Source organism: Homo sapiens, chromosome 4 (genome assembly GCF_000001405.40).
Source record: "Homo sapiens chromosome 4, GRCh38.p14 Primary Assembly".
Lineage (NCBI taxonomy): Eukaryota > Metazoa > Chordata > Mammalia > Primates > Hominidae > Homo > Homo sapiens.
In genome coordinates, this window is record NC_000004.12 from 155,705,537 (window position 1) to 155,725,567 (window position 20,031).

A 20,031-nucleotide genomic window follows, 5' to 3' on the forward strand; every position below is an offset into this window, starting at 1 on the left:
CTCAAAAAAAAAAAAAAAAAAAAGTAATAGGCCCCGTTTTTGATTCCCTGAAATTTCAAGGTTTATTTGGTCTATAAATAATAGAATAAATACTGGTGTTGAAATTTGCAGAACTGAACATTGGAGTTTTACAAACCAGCACTATTGTCAGGAATGTTTTAACAATTCATTCATCTGTCTCCTACTCATGAGTGATCATCTGCTCTGTGGATCATATGTGCTTGATTTTCCTTGCTGACTAGCTGGTCCCAGACTGCAGGCAGCAGGACCAAGCCAAGAAGGGGTCATGGACAGGTCCAGAAGGAAAGAGTGTGAATCTATGTGTCTGACAGAAGCTTTGTTTACACGAGTAACATGAGAAGCATTCCAGAACACCTCTGACCTTAATAACCAGTCAAGCTGATAAGATAGTCTTAAGTCTCTCACTGTGCTACTGTGTCTGTCTGCTTAAGTCCTTGGCAGCCAGTTTACTCAAAATTTATTCTCAGGGCTTTGTGTTCTGAATCGTTCCTACAGCTTCTTGCAATACTCAGTTATGATGTGTTTCCAGCAGTGTGCCTCTTAAAATAATCTCAAAACTTAAGCCAACAATAATTATTTTTTTGAAATTTTGAAATTTTTGTTTACCACTTCCCTGATGTCCCTAAATATAAAAAAAAGAAATCTGATTATACTTTTAAATTTTCTTGATGAGAACTATTCAGTTGTTGAAACAAGATTTTTGCTCATAAGCCTGCCTGCTGATATGTTAAGTGGTTCCTCTGTGCTTTTTTAGTTTTGGGGTATCCTCTTGTTTAAAGATTTTTTACTTCACTTTCTTATTGGTAAGTCACTGCCGTTTTTATTGCTGTCAGTTTGCCAACTGCTGAACACAACTTAACTCTTTTTTGTGCTGCTTATTCTCTTCTACGAATTGACAAACAAAAATCCAATATATCAACCAATAAACTGCCCTTGAATGAAGGACTAGAGCTGCCCCCCTCCTCTTTTTTTTTTTTCAGTGAATGAGTGTTAGTATAGCCATCATGTCCCTCAGGATTGGTTGCCCAGAGAGTTCTTGCTTAGTTTCTTTTTCTGGGATCTTTTGATCACATCATTATATGTATGAACTCATGCTGGTGTGTGTGTGTGTGTGTGTATTTGTATAAGGCACACATGTGTTGGCTGGTGCATGTGCAATGCTTACACCCACTTGTATTTTTTGAAGGTGAGGGTAGGAATTGTAGTTTGAATTGCACTATGTGCTGTTTGGACAAACTAAGCTTCGCTCATTTGGCAAATTTTGTCATAATCACTCATCACTATCAGAAATCATCACAAACAATTAGGCAAACATGAATCAACAAGTCGTGCAGTTAAAACTGCAAAAAAATCTTATCAATAAAAAAGCATGCTATTACAGTCTCAATTTCTATGCTGTAAAACAAGTGCAGTAATTGCATGAAGAATAGGTTTCTTTCATTACTAATTTTTTATACAAAATCAAGGATTAAAGTTTAATATAATGATATCTGAGAGATAAACACAGCCTTAAACTAAGAAGCAAAAGATTCTATGTATTTGCTTTAGGAAAATATATAATATTACTTAAAAGTGAATTCTATCTGTATGTAGGTTTTTCTTGGTTATCAGAATTACCATCCTCTTCTTGGCCACTTCACATTTGAGGTTGCTAGCCAGGGAAGGTTCTCCTGAGTACAGAGTCTCCTTGACCTACAGTGGAGTTACGTCCAGATAAACCCATCGTAACTTGAAAACACCCTAAGTGGAAAATGCATTTAACACGCTTAACCTACTGAATAGCTTAGCCTTGCCTACCTTACATGTCCTCAGCAACTTAAAGTAGCATAGAGTTAGGCAAAATCATCTGGCAACACAGTGCACTGTAGAGTACCGGTTGTTTACCCTCACAATTTCATGGCCACATGAGAGCTGTGGCTCACTGCCACTGCCCAGCATCACATGAGAGCATTGTACTCCATACCTGTAGCATGGGAGAAAATCAAAATTCAAACTTTGAAGTACAGTTTCCACTGAATACTTACAGCTTTTGCACCGATATAAAGGTAAAAAAAAAAAAAATCCTAAGTCTGAGACTGTCTGTATTAGTCTATGTAAAGTTCACTTTAAAGGTAAATATTTCTTATGAAGAATAACAAAACATTCTATGTCATATATATTTTGGGGTTTTCCAACATTGTTCTGGATGGTATATGTCATTGCTCCTTTCTCATAAAATTGATAGTCAAGATTTGCTTCTACAGAAAAGGGAATTTAAACTATTTTCTTTCTTTCTTTCTTTCTTTTTTTTTTGAGACAGTTTCCCTGTGTTGGCCAGGCTAGAGTGCAGTGGTGGCTGATCTCGGCTCACTGCTACCTCTGCCCCGCCAGGTCCCGGTTCAAGTAATTCTTCTGCCTCAGCCTCCCAAGTAGCTGGGATTATAGGCACACGCCACCATGCCCAGCTAATTTTTGTATTTTTAGCAGAGATGGGGTTTCACCATATTGGCCAGGCTGCTCTTGAACTCCTGACCTTGTGATCCACCCACCTCGGCCTCCCAAAGTGCTGGGATTACAGGCGTGAGCCGCTGTGCCTGGCCTAATTTAAACTATTTTCTATCATTGTTTCTGTATATTATAATCTGAACTTTTAGCATGTATTTATAAGTTTATAACTTAAAATATTGAAATATTTCCAGGAAATCTTTGGAAAGAGAAGACTTTGAAAAAACAATTGCAGAGCAAGCAGTTGCAGCAGGTAATAGAATTGTTTATGTAATTAGAAAGTATGCCATATACCTGTAGAACTCACATTTTCTCCAAAAATATTCATATTTATTTGTTGGTGACTCCCAGTATGAAGTGTTCAATATTATGTATTCTGTTAACGTAAAGAGTAACTCTTTTTGATACTATATGTTTTTGTTTGACCTAAAACATTTTCTCTGTTTATGTTTACTTGCTGAGGAGTAGATAAGGCTAGATGGGAAGCTGTCTCACAGATATTCACAGGCTTTGATCTTGAACCTAACTAACTGTTCCTCATTTATACATCAAAAATTCTACTCAACAAGGTAAAATAAAGAATGCTTTTAAAGGTTAGGAGCAGTCATGGGAAAAAAGTTAACAGTATTCTCACATTAATGATTAGTTTGAGAGAAAAAATTGATATGTGACTTTGTCTTGCTGTCCTTTCCAAAGTTTCAGTACATGAACCACGAGGTTGCATCTTTCTAAAAGTATAAGATATTGATAATAATAATAATGACTAACGTATATTGAGGCCCCCCTAGGAGCAAGGCCCTATTCTGAATATAAGCCCCACAACAGTGCTATGAAGAGGGCACTATTCTTTTTCCCACATTACAGATAAGAAAAAATGTGGTACTCAGAGTGTAAAGATTAAAGGAGATTATAGAAAGGGAAGATCATACAGAGCACCCTTGACATAACTAACTCCATCTTTAAAAAAGACTCCATTTTGTATTTTGTAGGGCATTTTGCCAACAAAAATAGCATGTTTTATTTAATAAACAAATTTAAAAAAATGAAAACTACATACAACAAGATAAAAACACAAACACACTTTTCCACTATCAGTTCTCACCAGAGGACTCTGTAACTATAAAAAATTAAACCTTCAACAACTCAAAACGGTCGTCCTGACACCTTCTTACATTCACTCGTGATAAAAACTGGACATCTGCCACCAAAGGCTCTGCCATCTCAAAGAGTCTTTCTTATAAGACGGCCTGACCCAAACCAAGACTCCTTTTGTCTTCTTCACCATACCCACCCTCCTTTGTTAATTCTTTCTCCTATCTCTTTTTCCTTTTGATGTTAAGTGTTACTTTGTTACAAAATATTTAACCTATAACATTTATATTTTCTATATTAATTAAGCATACTATTATGTATCGTTTACAATACTAACTGATTTGTGGAGTGACTTGAGCCTGTGTGCCTGCAGCTCTAAGAAACAAGTAAACAGAAAGTACTAAAAAAACTGCCTCTTGGCAAGGCATGGTGGTTCACGCCTATAATCCCAGCACTTTAGGAGGCCGAGGTGGGCAGATCACCTGAGGTCAGGAGTTCAAGACCAGCCTGGCCAACATGGTGAAAACCCGTCTCTACTAAAAGTACAAAAATTAGGCAGGCATGCTCGTGTGCACCTGTAGTCCCAGCTACTCTGGAGGTGAGGCATAAGAATCACCTAAACCTGGGAGGCAGAGCTTACAGTGAGCCGAGATCGCACCACTGCACTCCAGCCTGGGCGACAGAGCGAGACTCTGTCTCAAAGAAGAAAAAAAAAATTGCCTCCTTAAAAACTTCATGTAACTCATGGCTTTTATGATAAAAAATAATATTAATAAAAGCCTAACATTGTAAAAAGACACAGACATACAGAGGCTTATTTCTAACCTTATAGCACTCGTGAAAATGCTATAGAAAGTAAATTATATACTCCAAGCAGACATTCATTCAGCTAACACTAAACAACAAGAATGCGATTTGATTCAGGAAAAAATGCTTTGTAATCATTTCTAGACAAAACTGAGTTTCATGCCAGTAATTTTAAATTAACTTCCGTGTCTGACCCTTTTGCTGCTGGAAACCCTCATAGAGGAAGATCCTCTTCATGAGGATGGATTGCTTTTGTTGTTAACAGAAAGATTGGAGGACTTTTGCCAAAATGTACTTAATACTGGAATTCAAATTATTCTTTTGTAGTTAGGTTTCAGGGAGATAAAAAGTTGTGTATTATACTCAACCGGTCATTCTTTTTTAATGAACTAGTTTGGGATTTTTCTTCAGTTACTAGAATTTTAGAAGCTAACCTAGGTAGATAATTTGGATATAGGGGTTTCATTTTGGTTGGAAATGTTATTAGCAGATATAAAGGGAGCTAAATCAGCAAATAACGCAAGTTGAAAATAGGAATAATGGCACAGCTTTACCAAGGTGGCATATTTGATATGGCAGAACATGTATTATGTGATTTCAGGAGTTCCAGTGGAGGTTATCAAAGAATCTCTTGGTGAAGAGGTTTTTAAAATATGTTACGAGGAAGATGAAAACATCCTTGGGGTGGTTGGAGGCACCCTTAAAGATTTTTTAAACAGCTTCAGTACCCTTCTGAAACAGAGCAGCCATTGCCAAGAAGCAGGAAAAAGGGGCAGGCTTGAGGACGCCTCCATTCTATGCCTGGATAAGGAGGATGATTTTCTACATGTTTACTACTTCTTCCCTAAGAGAACCACCTCCCTGATTCTTCCCGGCATCATAAAGGCAGCTGCTCACGTATTATATGAAACGGAAGTGGAAGTGTCGTTAATGCCTCCCTGCTTCCATAATGATTGCAGCGAGTTTGTGAATCAGCCCTACTTGTTGTACTCCGTTCACATGAAAAGCACCAAGCCATCCCTGTCCCCCAGCAAACCCCAGTCCTCGCTGGTGATTCCCACATCGCTATTCTGCAAGACATTTCCATTCCATTTCATGTTTGACAAAGATATGACAATTCTGCAATTTGGCAATGGCATCAGAAGGCTGATGAACAGGAGAGACTTTCAAGGAAAGCCTAATTTTGAAGAATACTTTGAAATTCTGACTCCAAAAATCAACCAGACGTTTAGCGGGATCATGACTATGTTGAATATGCAGTTTGTTGTACGAGTGAGGAGATGGGACAACTCTGTGAAAAAATCTTCAAGGGTAAGGAAAACATAATACTATCTTGAATATGAAAGCTATTTCATATTTAAGAGCAAGAAACAAAAGGGTAAAAATATATGCATCACTTCAAATGTTTGATAAAACATATGTAAAACAATGGTAAAAGAATTGTAAAGCTGTAATAAACTGAAAACAAAATTCTTTCTGCATTTGTTTGCTTACTTGATTCATTACTCCAAAAATATTTATTGAATGCAGTCTGCCTTTTAATATCTTTATGGAATGTTTTATAATGAAATTTGATAAATGTTTATATAAAAATGTTTTCAATTATCAAATAGCTGACTTAGGTTGAATAATAAGAGGTATTGTTTTACAACAAACAAAAGTCACTTGTTTCTTGTAGGAGGCAACTAAATGGATTTTTAATCAACATTTAATAGACATGAAAAAAACAAATAATTTATTTGATTAATTGTTACCGAATGTGGAAGTTAAAACATATTCTGTCATCTCATGGTAGAGAGCTTTGGTAATTATTTAGTCTCAGGAAAGAAAGTTTGCTAACTCATAGTTGATAATACAAGCAAAGCTAAGAGAGAAGTTTCACACATGTATAACTTTAACAGAAGCACCATTTGTTCCCCAAAAGGAAAACAGCTTTATTATTGCTTTTCTATCATAAAAATAATAAAATATATTGAGATGTTTAAAAAATGAGTAATATTGAAAGGTGTTTATTGTAGCAAAAAAATGAAAAACTAATTATATACATTTTTTGTTTAAAACAAAAAAATGCTATTTTACAACTGCTTTTATCATGAAACAGTGTATTTTGTGCATCCTCCCATGTCATTAGATATAGGTCTATTTGGCTTTCTTGGAGTCTTAGTGGTATCCCATCATATGGTTGTGCTCTATTTTATTTTATTTATTTAGACTGCGTCTTGCTCTGTCGCCCAGGCTGGAGTGCAGTGGCGTGTTCTCAGCTCACTGCAACCTCCAACTCCGGGGTTCAAGCAGTTCTCCCCGCTTCAGCCTCTCGAGTAGCTGGGATTACAGGCTTGCACCACCACATCCGGCTAATTTTTGTATTTTTTATACAGACAAAGTTTCGCCATGTTGGCCAGGCTGGTCTTGAACTCCTGACCTTGGGTGATCCATCCGCCTCGTTCTCCTAAGCTCTACTTTATTTAACTAGTACCCTACTGAAGGATATTTGGGTTGCTTTTGGCTTTTTGCTGCAAGAACACACATGCACATCTTTGTCCACACATGTGCAAGTAAACCTTCTTGTGGTCCAGGATGATCACTTGAAGCCCCATCTCTCTCACGACAGAAAAAAAAATTAAGATAAAAATCTTACCTTTGGAGGCTTTTTCACTTCCATACCTGCCAGATGGAGCAAGTACTTATGGGAGAAGTGGGGAAGAGAAGAGAAACATGCTAAAAGAGAAGGAAGCCAAAAAAATAGAACAAAGAAAAAAGTAAGAGGGAGGGAAGAAGGAAGAAAGAAAGGACACATTTTCCTGACTACCATATTATACAAAAAATAGAACTTCAGATTAATCAAGTGAGACCATTAAGAAGAATATAGTAGCAAAAGCATCAGCATGCTGCTTAGTGAGAAAGCCTTGAAGCAAGAGCGTTTTGCATTGTTCATTGTAAATCTTGATTTCTGTGTAGAGTATACTCTAATATACTCTTCAAACATCTGCACGCATTTTAGAACTCATAGAAAATAGGAACTATAAGAAAGCAAATTGTTCCTTTTCAGCAGGTTTAAACACAAAGGGTTTATTACTGTATCTACTTCCCCTTCTTTTGTCTCAGAAAGATGTGGGAAACTTGAATAAACCACAATTGGTTATCCTTTCCTTCATAGGTTATGGACCTCAAAGGCCAAATGATCTACATTGTTGAATCCAGTGCAATCTTGTTTTTGGGGTCACCCTGTGTGGACAGATTAGAAGATTTTACAGGACGAGGGCTCTACCTCTCAGACATCCCAATTCACAATGCACTGAGGGATGTGGTCTTAATAGGGGAACAAGCCCGAGCTCAAGATGGCCTGAAGAAGAGGCTGGGGAAGCTGAAGGCTACCCTTGAGCAAGCCCACCAAGCCCTGGAGGAGGAGAAGAAAAAGACAGTAGACCTTCTGTGCTCCATATTTCCCTGTGAGGTTGCTCAGCAGCTGTGGCAAGGGCAAGTTGTGCAAGCCAAGAAGTTCAGTAATGTCACCATGCTCTTCTCAGACATCGTTGGGTTCACTGCCATCTGCTCCCAGTGCTCACCGCTGCAGGTCATCACCATGCTCAATGCACTGTACACTCGCTTCGACCAGCAGTGTGGAGAGCTGGATGTCTACAAGGTAGGAGTGGACCAGGGAAATAATTGTTTTACCAGCAAACTCACTGGGGAACAAGCACTGTGCCTAGGACCTGAATTATAATGCAACTGAAAGGCCACCTCTGTAGGGTCTTGCAAGCCCAGTCCTGGGAGCAGGTATGGTGCATTCATTATGTGGGTGTTTTCCAGCCAGCAATAGCTCTGAATCTGCCCAGAAACAGAGATAATTGTTCTGGGAGGACTGCCACACTGTCCTCTCAAAGAATGAGGAGAGAATGGAGGGAGGATAGGGTGCTCAAAGAATGGAGGATGGGGTGTAGGACCTGTGAATAGGAGAAGTTTAATAGTGAATCTGCCACTTCACTGTGGAAACCGAGTTGAATTATTAAGTGTGAGATAATTCAAAGTATGGCTTATACAAGGAAACATTATCCTTTGTATCTGTAAGAGTAAAGACACATGAGGATTATAAAAATTGCCTTTAAATAGATTACTTCAATATAGAGTTAACATGATACTTTTCATGGCCAGTTAACAGAAATCAAAATCACCTACTTAAGGCATTTTTGCAGCTTGGCCAAGGGCAGAGACATTTGAAAAAGAAAGACCTATCTTCAAATCTTGTTCTCTGCCTTACTTGCTTTGTAAACTGACCAAGTTAAAAAACCTTTCTCATCACTTCTAAGACAGAGAAAATAATATTCACTCACAGAGTTTATATGCATGAATAACACACATTATCTCCCATAATCTTCATGAACAGGATTGTTATAAAGATTATGTTAGGTAATACATGATATTCATCAGTCATACAGGATGAGCCAGGCATCATTGTAGGCACTGGGGATACAGCAGTGACCATCCCTGATACCTTTTCTTTTTAAACGTAACTACTATTAGTAAGAGAGCTAATGAAGAGATTTCAAGTTCTGCCTGCTTCTTTAGAATTAAAAGTTTTTACTGATTTAAATTACTTTGCTTTCTTTTAGACATTGGCACTAAGAATAAAGCGTATTTCTCATTTGTATGGCTTGAATCATCTTCTGAACTTGCCACATAACAATCTGACATTTCAGAGCTGAACCCAACAGGAAATAAATAAATTATTGTGGAAGAAACGAATATTATTCATGATAATACATAAGCTCTTGTCTTGTTTTATTCTAGATGCCAGAAGTAAAACCTTACTTTTAAAAATTCCTAACAGGAAAGTCCAAACAGAGCCATGATTCCCTTGGGGAAAAAGAGGTCCATGTATACTTACAGAAAAAATAATTGGCTTCAGTTACGTTAAGTTTGATGGCCTCTTGTGGAATTTACTATATTTATTTGTAGCCATTTTCTATCTTGAGACGGTCTCCTGTCTTAGAATTGTGAGAAGGAAGTCTCTCTTCCTTGCAAACTGCTGTAATTGCTAACAGAAGTAGCCCTCTTCTACTTTTGGTTATTTCTATCAAGGATATAGGGTATAGTTTTTAAGTATCCTGACAAGCATTTTGAAACTATGCTCCTCACTGTAAGGTATAAGGACAACAGCCACAGAGTTCCCTGATTAATCTAACTAGAGTTGTAACTAGATAGTAAATTACCTTCTATGCCAGCCCTCATTTCTACTTTTTTTTCACTTCTGATTTTGCTTGAGATTACTTCGAGATAGCTGAAAATAAATATAGAAGGGTTTCAGATACACAAAATGTATAATCGTAGCCTACCCTATGAGTGCCAATGGCTTTGAAAGAATAGTCAGCGTTATTTATTCCAAGACTGGATTATACTAGGGCTTTATTTAATTTTATTTTCTCTCTGTCTTTCTTGGGTTTTTGGCCATTTTTCTGTTTCTCTGTGTGTTCATTTACCCATTGTTTCAGCGAATATGTACTGGTTATCCAGCATTTGCCAGCATGGGTGCGCAGTGGCTACAGAGCTAGAGGGTACAATCCCTGTGAGGAAAGTTCACATATGGAGAGGGAGAAGAGGGCACAATGGACCAATGCCAGATTTCCATATGACGTGACGAAGGGATGCAGTATGCACAAAGGGCTGCAAAAGCAGATATGGTAGGCCCCTAACATCAGGTAGGGGTGGGTGTAGGACTTCTTCTAATTAGCCTATTTATTGAGCACCTGTGATGGCCATCATGATGAGCACTTCTTATGTACTCATTGCTGAGAAAAAGCTTATGGGTGGCATTGCCACCTGGTTCATTCATTACTGGGCACAGGTAATGTAGGAGTCAATAAACTAGATAAACTCAAAGGGCTTACATATGATTAGGGGAAACAAAGACAATAAACAAATGAGTAAATTTATAGTATTTAAGTCAGTATAATAATGTGAAAGAAAAATAAAGTAGGTTAAGGGGAAGAAGAAGGGCAGTGGGTAAGGGGTGATTGCTATTTCTTAGAGGGTGGTAGGAATCAGCTTTTCTAATAAGGTGAGGTTTTAGCAGGGACTGAAGGAAAGGAGGGACAACCACGTGGTTATCTGCAGAGAGATTGCTCCAGGAGAAAGGAATAGCAAGTGGGAGCATGTTTGATGTGCTTAAAGGATAATGGAAGGCAGTGACATTGGAACTAAGTGAGCAATATGGAGAATAAGAAGATAAAGTCAGAGATTAGGAGAAAGACAGGTAAAGAAGAAATCTGGAGCCATAATAAGGGTATCAGCATCTACTCTGAGGGGAATTTCTGAAGATTTGTGCCTCCTTTCTTTTTTCCTTTCTCACCCTCATCCTTTCACAATTGAGGCTTTGTGTAAGAATAATAGGGTCTTATAGTTACAATAAACATTTGGAGAAGAAGAAAAATGAAGCTCTTAGAATTAGGGGGTTATTTCTGGACTAAAATTAACTATCTGCTTTTTGCAGCCAGCATCACAGACAGATAAAAATTGCCTGTAACGACAACAATAATGATGATGATAATGATAAGGTTAATACTTAGATTTTTGATAATAGCTTGATTTCCAGTGGTCTTTCAAACACCACCGTTGTTTTTACCTGCTGGTTCAACATCTTGGTTTTTATAATTGTGATTAGTATCCATTAGATATGTAATTGCTATGAGGACCCCAAGGGTCCTTTAGAAGAACCGTTTCTCTTTACTCTTATGACTATTAATATCTTGGTTTTACATTGCACAATTTTACTGCATTGATGTGACATTTATTGAGTAGTGACTTGAGGCAAAATACTATTTTATGATGAGGAGGATATAAAACGAGTAAATGATCCCAACATCTTTAAACAATTTATTATAATTCAAAAATATATTGTTTCTACAAAAACTATCTTATATGGTGAAAAAAAAGAGATGAAATGATATGATGAGTCAGTGTGCAAATCTGGGAGTAGAAGTCAACTGTTACTGTGTTCATAGGACTGTACTGCCTCTCAGTGCAGTGCCTCAATGTAATGGGTCTAAACCTTGCGCATTTCCTGAAAAAGAAAGCCATTTCTGGGCGTATCTGATTAACCCTGATCCTCCAGAAGGCCTGAGCAATGAGAATTCTGCTATATGACTTAATTTCTTCTATCCGATGTAGGCTGTGATTCTTCCTGAGCATTTATTTATAGTATGGAAAATATATTATGTCTAGGTGGAGACCATTGGCGATGCCTATTGTGTAGCTGGGGGATTACACAAAGAGAGTGATACTCATGCTGTTCAGATAGCGCTGATGGCCCTGAAGATGATGGAGCTCTCTGATGAAGTTATGTCTCCCCATGGAGAACCTATCAAGGTAAGGCAGATGATATATTGTCCAAAAGATGTCACAAGAGCAAATGCGTATAGTTGATTACCAAAACCATGGTGTATCAGTTGGGGGTTAGTTGAGAGAGAGAGAGAAAGCAAAATCTATATAGAGAACACAATCTTCTCTAACTTGTTTACATTGGAAGAAATTTATTATAGGGTATTAAATGGCTTACAGAATCATTGAGAGGACAGAAGAACCCATCTATAAGTTGGGCTTTCAAAAAATGTTTCCCATAGTATAGGGATTTTCTATTGTCAAAGTAAAATGGCTTCTAAAGGCAAACTTCAGAACAACTGCATTTTCAAAAATCTGGAAGCTGATTCCAAAACTATCCTACCAAAGCCACAGTCAGGAAACTGCCATGTTCAGAAAGCTGCTGCCTCTTCAAAACCACATCTACTATAATAATCAGCAAGATGGCAATCCTGCATCATGACTTACAAAATGAGTGATGGGAAAATGGACTCTCTACTAAGCATGCTATAGAAAACACAAAGGCTTCCACAATTGTTCTTGAGTTATAGTGGAGATTGTGCCTGCCGAATCTCATGCAACTGTGCATCTGATTTACCAAGCCTAACTGCATTTAGAAGCTGCAAGTTAGTTTAGAAAATGTAGTTTTAGTTTTCCAGCCCCTGGAGGAGAGGATATTACATTTGAATGGATGTTGACTGTTAATTCACCAATATTTTCCAAGGCACGTGACATTTCAAAATTTCTAGATGAGCCAGATTCCAGACTAATATCTCACCACACATGAGGAAATAAAGTTAACATGGTAGGCATTGGTTTAACAGATAGAATATAAGCAGATTACCTTTGTCTCACAGTGAATCTGCCCCTTAATTTTTATAGGACAGTCCTCAGTTGACTACCTTCAGAAATAAGCCTTTGAGGTATTGTAAAATCTTATCCGGTATGCTATAAAACATATAGAGAAGAAAGAAGAAATTTAAAAACAAAACTATATTTGGAGATTTACCCTTAACTCTCTTTAACCTTAATAGAAGCCATATGTTTAAGCCTTCGTAACTATTTTCTAAGTCTATTGTCATCCCATTTATATGTTTCTGTGCAACATACTTTTCTAAATTTAATGGTATAAAATCACAAACTTTTATTATGCGTGGATTCTGTGCATCAAAAATTTGGATAAGTCATAGCAGGAATACCTCGTCTGTGCTCTACAATCTATGGGACCTCAGCTGGGAATACCGAAATGGGTGAGGGTGCCTGGAATAGCTGGGATTGCAACGATTGAAGCTGGAGGATTCATTCCAAGACTGCTGCTTCACTTACATGTCAGATTCCTTGGTGGGGATGGCTGAAAGGTTGGGTTCAGCTGGGATTGTTAGCGTTACATGTGATGCCCTAATATGTATTTTTTATGAGGTGGTTCATGTCCCACTGAACAAGACTGGTGGAAGCTGCATGACTTAGTCTTGGAAGACACACCGCAACACTTCCACTGCACTCTATCAGCCAGAGCAATCACAAGTCTGCCCAGAAGAGAGAGGGCTCAGAGCCCAAGAATCAATAGGAGGAGTGTAAAATAATTTGCAAGTATGTTTTAAAAGCATCACAATATCTGACTTTTTCAGATTTATTTTCGATAATTGCATTTTTTTAGAGGAGGACTATATATTTCTTTCTCTTTCTAATTTGTTTGAGGGGGCTTGTAGCATCAATGTAAATGTTAAAAATATCTAGACTATTAACAACATTTTAAGTGATTTTCACACAAATACATTTTATAATTAAGATGTGTATGTTTGGGGTGGGGGAATTTATGGCATTTTTGTTATTTGCAGAAATGTATTTTTAGATTTTTCTAAGTTGGAAGAATTATTTATAGCTAGTTTCAAAGATAGTTACCTGGGTAATGATAGATTAGTTTAAAAGACCTATAAAGGGAATCATTAATCATACCTTTTTATGCATACTAACCTGCAGCCCTGGGAAATATCTGACGTCCCTAAAAGATACCGGTGAAACATCACAGAGGCAGAGTGGAGAGTATTTTTAGTAGGGAAACTTTAACATGTATCAGAAAGGAGCATATTGTGACTTAACATCGTCTCATTTAATCCTTATAATAACACTTTAAAGAGGCATCTACACTGGCAGACACGAGCAGTCAAGTCTCCTATGTGTCAGTATTTGGAGTCATGTCCATGTGACTTCAAAGCCCAGGCTTTTTCTGCTTCTTGCCCTGCTACCTCTTGGTATAGAATTGAAGTGAAAGAATAGAAAATATTTTCTTTTTTTATTTTTCAAACTCTATGCTTTCCTTTAGCACGTCACATGTGCAAATCATTCATCTATTCATTTATTCCCATTGATTTCCTCACTAACATCCATCCAGTCAGGCTTAGAAAGCAGCAGGTGGGTTGGTGACAGAGACCAGTGGGCTGAGTGTAACCGTGAAAGTCAGTAGGTGACAAGTGAACACGGAAGCAAACTTCTAGTACCCCTCCTTTCCTAAGCCTAGAAGCTTATGATGAGAAATGGGCTATGCCACAAGTGGTCTCAAATAGAAGATGCCCTTAGTAGGTTCCCATTCAAACTTTTCCCGGGAGCCAGAATTCTGCCTTTGCCTTTCATTATTTCACAGGGAAGTCTGTTACCAGTGAAAAGAGATATGCTCAGGGCACGATGTGTGTCTTAAACACGTTGTGTTTTAAATCTTGCTGATGAATTTGAAAAGCTCTGTAAGAAAATGTTAGGGTTGAGAGATTCAAAACTGGAGAAGGGGAGGAAGGCAGCACGGCATGGAAGGACTAGGAGGGACACTTGCCTTGTCTGCATCGTTTCGGTTTTTACGAGCAGAATATATTTACATTTTAATTATGAAACAAGATAAAAATGCTATGGTAAATTTAATATATAATAAGCTGGAGTAACTAAGTATAGGAAGAAAAACTGGTTTAACCAGAAGAGTGCTCACAGAAAGCAAAAATTCCTCAATCTAAATATGCTGAAGTCATAGTTGATATTTATGAGCAGAAGAGCTTTATTCTATCTATCTATCTATCTATCTATCTATCTATCTATCTATCACTTGCTAAATGTGTAAATTAATATTCTCCTAAAAGAGACAAAGCCAGATATATAACAGACATCTAAGTTTTGCTTGTTAAAGTAAAACTTTGATGAAGAAAGGTCTTTAAAAATAATCAAACCCCTGCATTTTATAGGTGAAAACATGATCGGAGGGAAGTAAAGAGACTTAAGGAAGCCAGACTACCAGTTACTAGTAGAGCTTGTTAGAATACAAAGTTCCTGATTCACAGTCTAGTGCTTTTGTTTGAAAATTTTGTAGAACTCATATGACATCTTAAAAGTAAATGAGTCTGGAAAGTTTCTAGCAGATATCTGAAATTAGTTATTAAAACTAGACATAACTGAATTCTTCTGATTTCTAAATTATATCCAAGTTACTGAGTTCTTGGTCTTCATTCAAAACGCATACATCTAATACAACTTTTTAAAATGGTTGAGTAAACAAAGAGTTTGAAAATAATTAACATGGTATCATCATCATTTAAAATATCTCCACTTTAGCTTGTTTTGTAGTAGCAGTAATTTAAGTGTTTGTGAATCTTTTAAGATCATCAAGTAATCAGACCTTTGAAGATTCCATTGTTAAATATCCTGCTTTGGCTAGGCAAGGTGACTTACATTTGTAATCCTAGCACTTTGGGAAGTTGAGGCAGGAGGATCACTTGAGCCCAAGAGTTTGAGAATCAGCTGGGCAACATAGCAAGACCTTGTCTCTACAAAAAATTTAAAACTTATCCAGGTGTGATGGTGCATGCCTGTAGTTCTAGCTACTCAGGAGGCTGAGATGGGAGGATCATTTGGGCCCAGGGGTTCGAGGTTACAGTGAACTATGATGGTACCGCTGCACTACAGCCTGAGTGACAGAGCAAGACTCTGTCTCTAAAAAATAAATAAAATAAAACATTCTGTCTCAGTGGCTTTCCAAATCATTGGAGACTTCCAGAATTCCTAAAATTTTGCCACAACACATCCCAGACTGCCTCTTATATCTAGGCATGGCACAAATCTGATCTTTCATCAGTATGGATTTTTAATTTCATGTATATAGACATTGTCATCGTCATTGGACTCAAGTACCTTCCACTTTCTGCTTCCTCTGTCATTTTCTGCTTAAATATTACAATTTCATTTCCTCAGTTGTAAGTCATTAGAACAGTGGGATAGTGTTTGGTATAAAGCTATTTTGAGGTAAAATGTCTAAAAGATATATTTAATATCCTTAGAGCTAGCTTCATTTGCCCTTCTTTGTCAGTGTTTGGGAAAATGATTCCAGGAGTCCAGAAATTATGTCTATCTCACTTGAATGAGAGGTGGCAGTTTCACATAAACAGCTCATATCCCCCTTGCTATGTTGCTGTGGTTACTATGATCCCTGTGCATGGAAACTTGTTTCAGATGTTGAAGACAGACACAATTAAGATGGTTTGTGTAATAAACCTAAATGGAAAAGAGTTAAGAAGTGTGACTGTTGATTCTGCACTAGTAATTTTTAATTGCATGTGAGGAGTAGAGGGAAGTTGGCTGAAGGTTTTGAGGAAAGGGGTGGTGTCCTGAGGGTGAATGGTAAAATAATTTAGACGGTATTCAAACGACACTGACGAGTAGGAAGTGTTTTACCAGTGACTGGGAACATCATGTTATTTTTTGCTTTCAGATGCGAATTGGACTGCACTCTGGATCAGTTTTTGCTGGCGTCGTTGGAGTTAAAATGCCCCGTTACTGTCTTTTTGGAAACAATGTCACTCTGGCTAACAAATTTGAGTCCTGCAGTGTACCACGAAAAATCAATGTCAGCCCAACAACTTACAGGTAGTAATTATGTTAAACACCTAAAATCTCTTGTTTTTATTTATATACAATTGCCATTTGCCCCACTGATTTGATTCATTCTTCATAACTTTTTTCTTCCTTAGTCGTAAGGAAAAAAGAAACGTGATAACTTTTATCATCCTCACTTTAACTTTTTTACACTGCTTATTAGCCTCCTAAGAATGACTTGCCTGAGGTGTTTGTGGCCCAGCCATAAATCCATGACAGATATTACATAGTCTTCCATCATTCTTCTTTTAGAAGCACATATTAATACTCTTAGTATGTTGATAGGTGTTCTGACATCAACTAGTACACTGCAGTGCAGTTCTGGCAGTAAACACCCAGACTCAGCACAGTCATAACCACAAGTTACAGGGCACAGAACCCAACAAGCCTGCCCTTAATTCAGATGCCAGCCACCCTTCAGGACCTAAGTATGCATTTAGACGACTGAGCTACAATTTTGGGGGTTCCCATGAACCTCTCAAGTTAGATAATTATCTAAAATGACTCACAATACTTAGGGAATTGCTATACTTACTATTACAGTTTTATTTCGAAGGATACAAATCAGAACCAACCAAATGAAGAAACAGTTTGGGTAAGGTTTGGGAGGGTCCCAAATGCAGAGCTTCCATAGAATCAGAACTTATCTCCCTCCAGCCACCTCAGTGGGTTCACAAGCCAGGAAGCTCCACCTGATTGAGCTTTGAGTTTGGTGTATGGAGTCTTATTGTTTTCATTATGTAGGCATGATTCGTTGAATCATTGGCCATGTGATTGAACTCAGTCACCACCCCCACTCTCCTCCCCAGAGGTTAGGCTAACACAAAACCCCAACCTTCTATCCACAAGATTGATTTTTCTGGGGCCCTGCCCCCATTCTGAGTCATCTCATTAATATAAACTCAAAAGTGATCCAAGGGCCTCATGGAAAACAGATACTCCTATAACTCAAAAAATCCAAGAGTTTTAGAAGCTCCCTCCCTGCAATCAAGGACAACAGCCAGTCAAATTCCCTATCATACAGGGAAGAATTTACCAGAGGAAAACTAGCTGGTCATCGAGCACTTTTCAAAGATTGCAGTTTTATGGACTGGCAGCAAGTGTTAACACGGTCAGAGGAGCCACGTGTCATCTAGCATCAGAAGAACCTTTATTTTCACTGTCGCCTTGACAACATGTAGTATACAGCCTGAGTCAATAAAATCTACCATTTTGTTATCACTTATCCACCTTTAACCGGAAAATAAACCAATCCGTGGTAACTAGAAATATATCTTTCATGTACATTTTGTCTCATTATATTGGAAACTCTTAAGTAACAAAAGAGTTTTTCAGATCTATACAGTAGCTAAATTATACTAAGCAAGTTAGCTTTCCTATTCTCAGAGATAACTCTTTAATAGCATCTTCTCCCTTCTTCTTCTGCATTTATTTATTTATTTATTTATTTATTTATTTATTTATTTATTTATATTTTTTGAGACTAAGTCTTGCTCTATGGCCCAGGTTGGAGTACAGCAGCTCAGTCTTGCCTCACTGCAAGCTCTGCCTCCCAGTTTCAAGTGATTCTCCTGCCTCAGCCTCCCAAGTAGGTGGGATTACAGGCGCCCGCCTCCACGTCTGGCTAATTTTTGTATTTTTAGTAGATACTGGGTTTTGCCGTGTTGGCCAGGCTGGTCTCGAACTCCTGACCTCAAGTGATCTGCCCACCTTGGCCTCCCAAAGTGTAGGATTACAGGCGTGAGCCAATGCACCTGGTCTTCTCCCTTCTTAAGGCACCAGCATCCTTTCCTTTCCAGCCCAGACTCTCAGTTGATAATCTTGCCTCATATTTCACCACCAGAATAGAAGTCAGACAGGAGCTTTGCCATCTTTGTGCTGTAGGTTCTCTCAGCAGAGCTACCCCAGTACTCATCTCCTCCTTCTTTGTTCCCATTACATTGGCCCAGCTCCCCTCCTGCCCCTGGTTGATACAGTTTTACTCTCAGTGCTATTTCCTCTCACCTTCTCAATAACTTTTCTGTGGAAATTAACTCTCTATGATCAATTTCTCTTTGATGAAATGATTATTCCCAACAGAATACAACCATATCTATTAAAGCTCTGAATTGAAAAATAAAAAATTCCTTGTTTCCAAGTCCGGCTTCTGCTACAATTTTCAATTTCTGCTCTGTTTTATAGCAAAACTGAAAGAAGTTGTCTATACTCACTATCTGTATTTTTTCCACCTCTTATTTTCTCTTCAACTCACTCCAGTCAGTGTTTACTCCACTCAAACGGTTCTTATCAAGGTCATCATTGTGCCCTGCTAAAATAAAATCACTGTCAGTTTTCTCTCCTTATCCTCTCAGAAGCATTTGAATAGGCTGAGAACTCCCTCATTTAAACATTTTCTTCTTTAAATTTTTGGCACCACATTCACCTAGTTTTCTCACTACCCCATGTCTACACCTTCTCAGTGTCTTCTCTTGGTACTCCTTCCCTACCAAACCTTTGTTGCCGTGCTCAGAGCCTCTTTTCCTGTTATCTTCTGTATCTGAACTTTTATGACTCTAACTATTTTTTAAAAAAAATCTTTCGCCCATCCTGTGATTCTCTGCAGAGCTACAGACTCATATATCCTATTCCATATTTCCACTTGGATGACTAATTCACATATTAAAATGAACTGGACCGAATTAGAATGAGTGATTTCCCACACAGACTGATGAAATCCACTTCCCACCCAGGCAAGCTTACCAATCACCTTAAAATGATATCACCATCCACCTAGTTACTCAGACCATCGACCTTACAGTGATCATTTCTTCTCCTCTCTTTAAAGAGACACTCCTTAACTATCATAACTATAGCAACAACCTTCTCCTCACATACCCTCTCATTATCCTATTTCATCTTCTCAGTTCACACCTGTATCTGAAATTGTCTTATGCAGTATTTATTTATGTGTTGATTGCCTGCCTCCCTTTTTAGAATGTTAGCTTCCTGTGGTACACATTCCATATTCCCAGCTCCTAGATCAGCGCGTGAAACACAGAAGGAAAGCAAGAAGTATTTACTGGTTAACTGTTGACTCCTGGGTATGAAAACAACTCAGTATAACCTGAGAATTGGAAAAATCCCTGGGGTTCATTGTAATGGTAATTGGCCTATGGTCCTACTGGGTATAATAGGTAGGGATAAGAATCCATGCCTTGAGATAATATGATTCTACTCTCTCTGTAGGCATTAAGAGGAATCATCCTATTAAGTAGGAGTCAGTTGCCCATCCTTTCACTGACACCTGTGTTTCTCTTTCAATGTTAAGTGATGTGTTATGTGTATATGTGCATACTGAGGAATCCTACCTTAAAACAAAACTGCTAC

General features: G+C 37.9%; 1 protein-coding gene and 1 long non-coding RNA gene across 27 annotated transcripts in view; one reads left to right on the forward strand and one right to left on the reverse strand.

Moving 5' to 3' along the window:
• GUCY1A1 (guanylate cyclase 1 soluble subunit alpha 1) overlaps window positions 1-20,031 on the forward strand; it is a 70,212-nt gene that overhangs the window by 38,689 nt on the left and 11,492 nt on the right. For 22 of the 25 annotated variants that reach the window (NM_001379669.1, NM_001130683.4, XM_005262957.4 and 19 more), the window contains 5 exons: window positions 2,700-2,758; window positions 5,006-5,715; window positions 7,562-8,047; window positions 11,623-11,766; window positions 16,502-16,656. In NM_001379669.1, coding sequence (NP_001366598.1) covers window positions 2,700-2,758; window positions 5,006-5,715; window positions 7,562-8,047; window positions 11,623-11,766; window positions 16,502-16,656 — 1,554 coding nt within the window. Of the gene's footprint in view, window positions 1-2,699; window positions 2,759-5,005; window positions 5,716-7,561; window positions 8,048-11,622; window positions 11,767-16,501; window positions 17,935-20,031 lie in introns of those variants that run through there. The other 3 variants (NM_001379676.1, NM_001130687.3, NM_001379675.1) reach the window with 3 other exon arrangements.
• LOC105377506 (uncharacterized) overlaps window positions 18,882-20,031 on the reverse strand; it is a 33,998-nt gene continuing 32,848 nt past the window's right edge. For both annotated transcript variants that reach the window (XR_007058484.1, XR_007058483.1), the window contains exon 8: window positions 18,882-18,970. This is a non-coding gene — a long non-coding RNA (uncharacterized LOC105377506). The remainder of the gene's footprint in view (window positions 18,971-20,031) is intronic.